Consider the following 10,852-nt stretch of genomic DNA (forward strand, 5'->3'; position numbering starts at 1 on the left):
AAGGTCTTCAAAAGGCCACTTCGCAAACGAAAAATTTACTTGAAGGCACACACTCTTTTGCTGGAGGCCAGGCTTGGTATGTTTCTGATTATACTGCTGACCCTCACCCTGAAAATCCTTTGTAGAAGGGCCTTTTTTCTAGACAGCCTACTGATGAGCAAATGATCTAACAGATTTCACACCACATAAATTTGAGCCTAATAAATGGCTTCAAATTCAGACCTCCTAATTCTGGTTTCAGAGAGGTAGTTCCCTTTACAAAGGCAATCATGTAGACAATTAATAAACACACACACAGCACCGGGAAAGGGTGAATTCTGCCTCAGCCCCCACCCCGAAAGCAAGCTCCGAATGACTGGCTTCGTGAAATGTAGATTTACCTTAGGCTTCTTGTTCTGGCAGAAGACACGGCCGTGGTAAGGAAGGCCCACTTGGTCACGGATGTCTTCTGCCCTGTCCTGTACAGTAGCCACTAGACATATGTGGCTATTTAAATTTAAATGTATATTAAAAATTAAAATGTCTGTCCTTTCGTGGTACTGGCCACATTTGAAATGCTTGGTCGCCACATGCTGTTAGGAGCTACTAAATTATAGTTCAGGATGGGACTTTGCTATTGTCTCAGGGAGCTCTAGTGGACAGTGCTTGTCTATTATTTGGGCAAAACCTCTCAGGGCCCAGATTGCTCCTGTTTTGTCCCAGTTGTTGGCAACTGTACCTCCCCACCCTGGGACTGTGTTATTACATTATTCTATATAAACAAAATGAAGCAAAGTTCATACTGAAGAAAATTAGGGATTAAAAAGAAATCCTGGCTGGGCGCGGTGGCTCACCCCTATAATCCCGCCCAGCGCTTTGGGAGGCCAAGGTGGGCAGATCATGAGGACCGGAGATCGTCACCATCCTGTTTAACATGGAGAAACCCCATCTCTACTAAAAATACAAAAACTTAGCTGGGCATGGTGGTGGGCACTTGTAATCCCAGCTACTCAGGAGGCTGAGGCAAGAGAATCGCTTGAACCTGGGAGGCAGAGGTTGCAGTGAGCCAAGATTGCACCACTGCACTCCAGCCTGGGCGACAGAGCCAGACTCTGTCTCAAACAAAACAAAACAAAACAAACAAACAAAAATCCTATTGTTAATGACAAAAAAAAAGGGAACCTTGTTGTAAATCTGCTGAGGAGCTTGTTTTCTTTCAGCTCGTCGCTATTTTGGGTAGCATATTTACAGCTCTAGGGGAATGAACCCAATTATTTGGGGCCAGAAAATAAGATCTGTGTTCTCATCCCAGTAAGATAACTCCTCTGCCTCAATTCACCAGGCAATCGCTCTGGCTGCTAAGGGCCGGCATGTATCAGAGACTGTTAGGGGCAGCGAGGGCCCTGGACATCCCAAGGTCCACAACCTCGTGCAAGGGTGGCAAGAGCAGCAATGCGAGACTGTGCCAGAGCCACGAGGCCAGCGTGTAAGAGAACCAGTCCTCCTGCTTCCTCCTCACAGCTTGTTCTTAGCAGACAACATGCAGCCTCTTCCACCTCTTGAGCTTTGGTTGATTTCATTGTAAGATGGAGGAAAGACTTGGCCCTGAACTGTGGAGCGAGCTAATTCAATGCCAAGCCAAATCACATGCTTATGGGATTGCAGAGGTTCTGGGAGATGTGGCCCTAGATCTAAACTGTTGTAGCTCATCCCTAAAGATGGTCTTTTCAGCTTCTACAGTGGGAGATGGGCTTTGCCTCGTAAGATGAAGGATTCTCCAAACATGAGGAGGAGTTTCAAATTCGGGGCAGCCCAAAAGAATGACAAATGTCCATCAATCTTCATACACAGATGCGACACACTGACATAATTTCATCCCAGGCATCACTCGTACAGACCTCTGTATCTTACTGTTTGACGTCTTTGTTTGTGGGGTGGTGGAGGTGCTATCTTAAAGACATCTTAAACCTAACATGTCCCAAAACTGAACTGATGATCACCCTTCTCAAATCTGATGCTCCCCAATATTCATTATGTTAAAGAATAGCACCACCATTATCTGAGTTAAATTAGTCAAAAAAGTCCTGGAGTTATTCTTGGCACCCCACAACCCCCGCCTTTCCATAACCAACTCATCACCAAGCTCTGTGGATTTTACCTCGTCAAGCTCCCCTGAGTCTGTTCATTTCTCTTCATATTCACCAATATCTTGGTCCAAGCTACCATTATTGCTAACCTAGGCTATTGCTATCGCCCCCTGATTGGTGAACTGGTGCCTACTTTTCCTCCCATCTCATCCCAATGTATTCTCCTCATTGAAACCAGAGTGACCCCTGAAATGAAATCTAACCTTGTCATCTCCCTGTTTTCAATTCTTCTATGACTTCCATTGACCTTAGGAGAAAGTCAAAGTTCCTTAATTGACTGCAAAGCTTTACATGGCCTGCTCCTTTGGTCTCACTGCTGAGCACATCTTCCCCCAGCTCTCATTTCAGATACGTCCCACAGCACTGGACAGTCTCTCACAATCTTGCATTTCTTTCTCCCGTAGAGTCTTTGCTTTTTTTTCTTCCCAAATCACTCCTCTCCACCTTTCAGTTCTTGGCCTGTTAACTCCATTCACCCTCCCCGTCTTAACTCAAGCATTACTTCCTCAAGAGTATCTTTCGTGACTTCCCTGTCAAAATCAAATCCCCAATACAGGGGACCTCTACTTTAGAGTCACCATTACAGCTGCAATGTCACATTTATTTGTGTGACAACTGGACAAACATCTTTCTTCCCAACTAGGTAGTCAGCTCCATGCTGATAGGAATCATGCCTCTGTCCTCAGCAAAGAACCCCTGGCCTGGTTCATAGTGAGCATGCTACAATATGAAATGATTGAAAGAGCTGCATGACTGAGTACTCGACCTGGGCTTGAATCTTGGTTCCACTACTTCCTTAGTTTTGTGAATTCAGGTGAATCATTTAATCTATCTGAAACCCAGTTTCCTAATATATACAAAAAGGAGAACCTAGTAACTACTTCCCAGGGACTCGTGAGGATATATAAAATGTGATTGAGTGCCTGAAGCAGCCACAGTATCTGGTACACAGTTGGTATTCAGAAAATGGTGATTGTCATCATCCAAATGTCTCTCCTGTTTGAGAATCTTCCCCATGGGAAGTCTAGGTATCCTACTTAATATCTTTGTAAAGTTTGTGTTTTTTTTTTTTTGCAACCAAAAATTCCATATGAAATGTAGCTCAAGTCCAGACTCACAAAATAGAAACATCAAGATTCAAACTTAAACCACTCCTGCTTCTAACATTTTTTGAGTGCTTACTATGTGTCAAGAGCCATTCTAAAAACTTTACAAACGTTAACTCCTTCAATTCTATGAGCGCATCAGTCCTAGGAGGTGTGTACCATTATCCCTTTCTTACCCAGAGGAAACTGAGACACAGTAAGGTTAAGTAACTTGTCCAAGGTCACACAGCTAACAAGTGCCAGAGCCAGGACTCATACCTAAATGGTCCTGAAACGTCCTTGCTTTTAATCATTGCATTCTGCTATTTTATTTGGCTTTTGTAGAATTTGCTCCCAAAGCAATGAAAAAGTGAACAAACAAAATGCTTGTAACATGTCATATAAACCATCCCCCTATCATAAGATCAAAATTATATAAAAGAGAAAAATGTACATAAGCTTGTCACTTGCATAGAATAAAGACATGAAAAGAAAAAGCCATAATAATTGAATGATAGAAATTTGGATAGTTAAAACATTTTCTTATTTTGTTTTTCACCTGTTTCCTACATTTTCAACACTTTAAAATGTGTTGCTATTATAATCTAAAGAAACATAAACATTATTTTTTTAAAAAAGAAAAGTAAGTGAATTTCTAATTAGAAAAAAAGAAAAAGGAAGAAAACAAGAGTACTGCTGTAATCAAAATTCAAACAGGGAAATAAGAAGAGGGAGCATGGATGATGCTTGTCTACCTGAAGCATTGCTCCAGGAGACCTGTCTTGGGGCCCTGTGCTCCAGGCCCATCAGACAGCTGCAATTCGCATTCTTAGGCAAAGATCTCTTGGAATTTTAAATAATAACCCTGGGCCACAATTAGCCCACTCAGTATTGAGCAATAATGGGTAGTAGTAGCTGAGCCTGAACTCTCTGTCTTCACTACAGTGGAAAAACCCTAGACTGAACTGGGATAGAGAAGACATCTTGGGCTCTAGCCTGAGGTTGACTGCCCCCTCAAGGTGTGCCTTGGAGAATCTGTGGCCCCTTCATTAGCCAAAAAGCAGCAGCCATGTCTGCTTGATCACCCTTTAAACGTGCTGTGAGCTGCAAGCATACCAGCAAATCCTCACTCTTGCAAGTGCTTTGCATAGCTTGACTCATTTAAGCCTCAGGACAACACCGCAAGTTAGATATTATTATCATCCCAATTGTACAGATAAAGAAACTGAGGTACAGAGCAGTTAAATAACCTGCCCAGGGCCATAGAATTAAGTGTAGAACTAGGATTCTAATTTAAGGAGTCTGACCGTCTAGTGAATTTATGTGGCAATAACCACTATGCCAAGGGACATCTCTCAGCTTTGAATAAGATACGGTATGGAAAAGAGTTTGGAACAGTTCAAAACGCTGGATAAATGTCACTTGTTAGTTTGGGACATTTTAAAGGAAGTGGCTTCTTGGGCAATGTTTCAGAATGGCTGGTAATTAGGAAATAGGTATAAATCTAGAAAGTTCTGAACATAAATAAAACATTTCCATCTCTCATTGAAAAAAACTTTCCACCAAGGACACAGGAGAGTCCCCAAACAGGAAAGAGATACTCCTTATTCAATAATGTGGTGGTTTTGTGTTTATATGTTCGGCTCCAGTAATCTGCCTTTCGGACAGTAGATATATCATGTAATTAGGTTTAGGAAAATTGCTTGGGCAAAGTGACCTTGAAGCTCCTTTCCTCCCTCCATCCATGCATCTATCTATTCATCAATGCAGTGAGCAGAAATTTGGTGCAAGTCCTATACTTGATCCATACTCCAAAGTTGGGTTACTTGCTCTGATGTGGTATTGTTTCCAAGCCTCCTGGGTGGAAGAAACCTAAAAAGGTCACCTGGTTCACTCATTTGCCCACTTACCCTCTTCCACCTAAACTATCCCCAACAGATAGGATGTGGTTCTGTTTGCAGGGACCTCCAGGCAAGATGCGTCTCTGGCCTTCCCCTGGGAAGCCCTCATCAGCCCTTAATCAAAATGTTTAGGGCCCGTGGGAGAGCTAGCGGAGTCCCGCTTATCAAGGTGGGATTTATTTACTTACTGTCCAAATCATTTCACATCAGATTGGCTTGTTGTTCCCTCCGCTCACCGGCTGGAGAGCGGAGGTGACAGATCACACCACTGCTTATTTAACCAACCATAAACAGGACTTGAAAGAAGGGAGTTTGCTGCACATAGCTCATCTTTGGAGAATCCGACACGCATCAAGTTGATGGCAAACTTCTGTTCATTATCTGAAAACACTTTTTCTACTTTTTTTTCTTTTTCTGTTCCCAAAGGAAGATGTTTACTTCAGAAAACTCACTCGTTTTACCCCACTGAGAGGAGAGGAGGGTGGATCTAAGCCAGAAAGTTGCTTCCAGCCCAAATGGCCTGGGCTGTTGAAGGTTTTCCTTCCCACCGACATGGGCCTAAGGATAGGAGGCAGTTTACCAAATTTTATGGCTCCCTAAGTCTATCCAGTTTGCCAAAACCTCCTAAACTAACTGTTTTAATGGCATGGTTGGTTATCTACAACTTGGATGGCAATATGGCTAGATTATAGTGGAGCTGTAATAGCTTCATAAAGGTTGATCTTTATGACATTCAGGGGAAATATGTCATCCCATATTTCATGGAATAACTTCAATTTAAAGCGTTTTGTTCTTTTTTTCATTGCTCAAATGGAAGGAGGGGGTGAAGTAGTGGACATCCAAGAAGCTAAAGAAATAAATTCAAGAGAAAAAAATTAGGATAAAGATGCTGAGGAAAATTACCCGGATTAGGACAATAAAACTAGATGGGAAGGTAAAATAATAGCAGAAGAAAAAATGGAAGGATAACCCAATGCTTTGTTTAATGACCATTCTCAAGACAAGCTGCCCCAATTGAAAGGGACTGAAAGTGAGGTCACAGACACACACGCAGCATGGCAGGGTGCACACATGCATGCTTACCCTTTTCTAGAACCAGTGAACGAGATTTTAATGTTGTAATCTCCCCTTTTGGAGGAAAAGACGACCTTTTGGTTAAGGACAAATGTTCAACACCATGTCCACGCTCACGCCAATGTCCACAGGGGTCCATGTGTGATGCGAGAAGCCATGGGTTCCCTGAATGACCGAGGCCGGTGGAGACATCTGCAGTCCCTTTTCCTTTGGACCCCCTGGGAGTCAAAGCTGATCAGGCCCTCGACTCACCTGCTGTGTGGCATTATTTTTTTATTTTTTAAATGTTTTAGATGGTGTCTCTCTCTGTCACCCAGGCTGGAGTGCAGCGGTGCGATCTCGGCTCACTGCAACCTCTGCCTCCCGGGTTCAAGCTATTCTCCTGCCTCAGCCTCCCGAGTAGCTGGGACTACAGGTGCCCGCCACCATGCCCAGCTAATTTTTTGTATTTTTAGTAGAGATGGGGTTTCACCATGTTAGCCAGGATGATCTCGATCTCCTGACCTCATGATCCACCTGCCTCAGCCTCCCAAAGTGCTGGGATTACAGGCGTGAGCTGTGTGGCATTATTTAGGGAAAGTCCTTTAACACTTGTTGAGACATTCTTGGAGCCCTGGAAATGTGAGACCTTCTTGGGGCCCTGGGAACTCTCACCATTTCTTATGCATTCTCAAATGATTGGGGTGATGAAAAGAGTCCAAATTATCCATCCCATGGTCTGAAGGGCCAGAGTGCAAACGCCTGATGCACATACTCAACGTGACCATAAATCCCCTGGTTTTCTCCTCTGTCCATAGGATGAGAATAATAGTCCCCACACTGGGTGCCTGTGAGAGTTAGGTGCCTGGGACACAGTACATCCTCATCAAATGTGAGCTCTCTACCACCTTTACAAGATGGTTAGTCAGGGTCTTATCAGAATTTGATATTTCGAATGAAAAAATGTTTCTGTGTTTCTCTACTGTCTACCAAATATGAAAAGGCATAGCAAACAGTTTCGTGGGTCCTTAATAAGCTAAACATAGAATTACTATATGACCCAGCAATTCCACTCCCAGGTATCAACCCAAAAGAATTAAACACAAAAACTTGTCTAGAAAAGTTCACAACAGGCTTAGTCACAATAGCTAAAAAGGTGCAACAACTCAAATGTCCAACTGACGAATAAACAAACAACATGTGGTATATCTGTGCAATGGAATAGTATTCAGCCATAACAAAGAGGGAAGTGTGATACACGCTGCGGCATGGAGGGGCCTTGAAAACTATCTTTGGTGAAAGTGAAAGGCACAGAAGGTCTATTTTGGAATAGCCAAATCCATAGAGACAGAAAGCAGATTAGTAGCTGCTGAGGGCTGGGCAGAGAAAGAGAGGGTGACCATCTTGTGGGTACAGGGTTTCCTTTCGAGATGATGATGTTTTGAAACTAGATTGTATGACGATTGAACAATGTTATGAACGTACCAAATGCCACTGAATCGGACACTTTAAAATGGTAAATTGGATGTTATGTGTATTTTACGATGATTTTTAAAAGGTTATAGCAATGAAGGCTCTATAATACTGCAGTGTCATCGTGGAGGATGCCGTTTGAAAAATCTGCAGTGAGCCTTCTTGGATGACACATGGCTGTGTAAAGATGTATTTTTCCTCCGGCTCCATTTCGTACCAGCTCCTGAGGCCCCCGGCACACAGTCTGTGTGTAGCCTCCTGCCCACCCGTCGGGTCTCCACGCTGCTAGACAAAGCCCCTTTCTTACTCCGTGGTCAGGAGGAGCTGAGGGCACCGTGGATGCGTAAACATGGGCAGGAAGGCAGGCCGCCTGAAAGCTTCCAAAAGCCCCTTTCTGACAAGTGAAAAATGTTGGTGACTTGAAGTCACAGGGCCAGGCTTTTAACAACCCTCAGCGTATTTATTTAACCCAGTAAATACGTTTATTAGCAAGGCCGCCTCCTTTGTAGAGCAGGTAATGGATTCCCCATATGTTTCTGCTTTGCAGGCCGGGCCACGACGGCTCACACCTCGCTCTCCTCCTGCCTCCGAGGTTAAGACCTCGGTGTGTTGCCACTTTCGGCCTCAGCCCCTCGTGTGTGTAATTACAGCCGTTCCCAGAGAGAAGGAAATCCCCGGGCTTCGGCCTTAACTAGCCCCGGCGTTACACTACCAAAGGGCATGTCTCAGAGGGGGAAGAGAGAGGTAATAAAGCTTTCACGTTATTAACTTTTTCCTTCTGAAAAGAAGCCTGAAAAATGCCATTGCACCACATTAAAGGCCGTATGTGAGAGCCGCCACCGCCTAATGAGGGGCTCGGACCCCGGGCCACATGCGAGGGCTTTGGGGGCCCCTTTTAACTGAACCTTGATGTCGTGCCAGCCCTGGGGGTGCGGCCATGAGGTGGGGAGGGGGTTGGGCTGTGCCCACCCCTGCTCGGGGCTGAGGTTTGCACCTGACTCAGGGGATGCAGGCCCAGACAAGCAGGATGCCACCCAGGACCAGCAGAGGTGAGTGGGGCCCGGATCTCAGATGAATGAGCAGGGTTCCTCTCTAGAGCCCTGTGTGGAGGTGACAAGGAAGCAGCAGGAACAGAGTGACCAGGGGGAGGACAGGTGTGTCTAGCACTGGGCTGCCCACCTGAAGGTGTGATGAGCCACAGGCCACATCTGGGCCAATGAGCCACATGTGGGCCGAGGACCCCCCAGAGCACGACGCAGGAGTTGGGACCACCAGAGTGAACTGCAGTGTCACCGAAGACGCAGCTTCCAGATCTTTCCCCCAGATCTCAGGCATCCTACCCCATAGGCCAACAGAAAGATTTTTAACCATTTTAACATGTTTTGATGTTTTGAGACTGGGTAAGATTTCTTGCCTGGGCATTCCAGGGAAATCCAGCGCTCATGCTTATGCGTCGTGAGGCCGTGGAAAGACACAGGACTGTTGGAGATGACACCCAGGTGTGTGCTAAGAGCTCGGGCGGGCCCCTCTGCTCTCACTCTCCTGAGGCCACAGTCTGGGCTCCCTCGTCCACACTGCAAGGCTGTGTGTGCTGAGAAGGGCTAGGGGGCAGGCAGGAGTCAGGAACCAGGGTGAGCAGCTCTCCTTCCTTCACAGTCCCTCCCCACGCCTCCCCAGCACTGGGCTAGGAGAAAAGTGGGCAAAGTCCTGTGGAGGGTGGAGAAAACTAGCCTAGCCCCTAGAGTTTGCTTCCTGGTGCAGGGGATGTTTGCCTTCTTCTGGTCCTCTGGTCTGTTGGACTATTTTGCAGGCACCCTGCCTGGTCCAGGGAGACTTCACCAGCTCCACTCTTGGAAATCTGTGTCTCCCGTCTGAAAGCTTCTGGGGATAGGGGCCGCTTTCCTATTTACTTGCCCCACCATAATACTGACTTTATGGCCTCATCAAAACAAGCCCTGATCTGGAACCACTGCGTGTAGTTGTGCAGGCTGGGTGCGGGCAAGTTCCTGGGATGGTGAGGCGATCGTGTTCACTATGGTGTGAATGGAGCCCCGCCACGTCCCACAGCCATGCAATGAGAAAGCCCTGCTGATCTGTCCAAATTCTGGCATGGGAGAGCTGGCAGTGCCCATTGCACAATGAATGCACAGATGTGGAGACCAAGACCCAGGGAGAACAGGGTTCAATTGGTATTGAATTCGCCCTTGCAATGAACAAAGCAGTTTTGCACACCTTTTCTCATTTAACGCTCTTTGTGAGAGCACACAGGTGTTAATAATCCTATTTTACATACAGGTAAAGTGAGAACCACCCGGGCAAGGGACTTGCCCAACTGCATGTGGCCGGGCATGGCAGGACCAGGGCCTGGGTCTCCTGATATCTCCTCTAATGGTCTTGCCACAAGACATGGGCCACCTGCGAGGCTGCTAGACTCATCCCCAGCCTTTGTAGGTGAAGGATGTTTAGGCATCTCTGCATCATCTGTATCTGTGTACTCCTTGAAGGTAGCTGCTCTCCTCAACCTCAACAGATAACTCTGCGTTTAAATGTCAACTCTGCTAGCTGACTCCTCATAGGCAAAGCACTGATCTCATTGTCCATTTATTCATTCAACAGGTATTTATTAGTGGTTGCTGTGTGCCAGCCATGGCACTGGGGATGTCATGGTAAACAAAGCACACACAAATCCCTGCTCATGAAAACGCTTTACAGGTCTGGGCACACAACAAGTGCTCAATAGTGGTTGGTTAGGGCCTGTAGCTTTGACCTTCATCTGCCCATTATCCTCGTGCTCTGTAGAGACAGCCATGCTGTGAGCTCTCCCCAGAGAGAAGGAGAGGCACTCACAGCCCAGCTCTGGAGAGCCTCAGCCCTTGGAACTGGCAAGGGAGGCGTGGGAAAACCACCCGTTCGTCCCGTGCTTACATTTCCTGGGCCGGAGTGGCTGAACATCGCATGCTTGAGCTGGTGATAACGTATTCCACCACTAAGTGCTCTGAACATCAATGCTTGCCTGGGTGAATGATTTTCCCTGTTACACCAAGCATGTCCTATACCAGGCACTGTGCATTGTTTATTTATGGGGTCAAAGGAAGAAGGGGGATGCCAGTTTCCTCCTATGTGAGATGGGAGCGAGGTAGACCTAGAGACAATCCACAGAGAGATGGCAGTCATTCGATGTAAGTGTCTGTGTGAATCACCTCAAGGTGCTTGG

This window comes from Homo sapiens, chromosome 2, assembly GCF_000001405.40.
Source record: "Homo sapiens chromosome 2, GRCh38.p14 Primary Assembly".
In the NCBI taxonomy this organism is placed as follows: domain Eukaryota; kingdom Metazoa; phylum Chordata; class Mammalia; order Primates; family Hominidae; genus Homo; species Homo sapiens.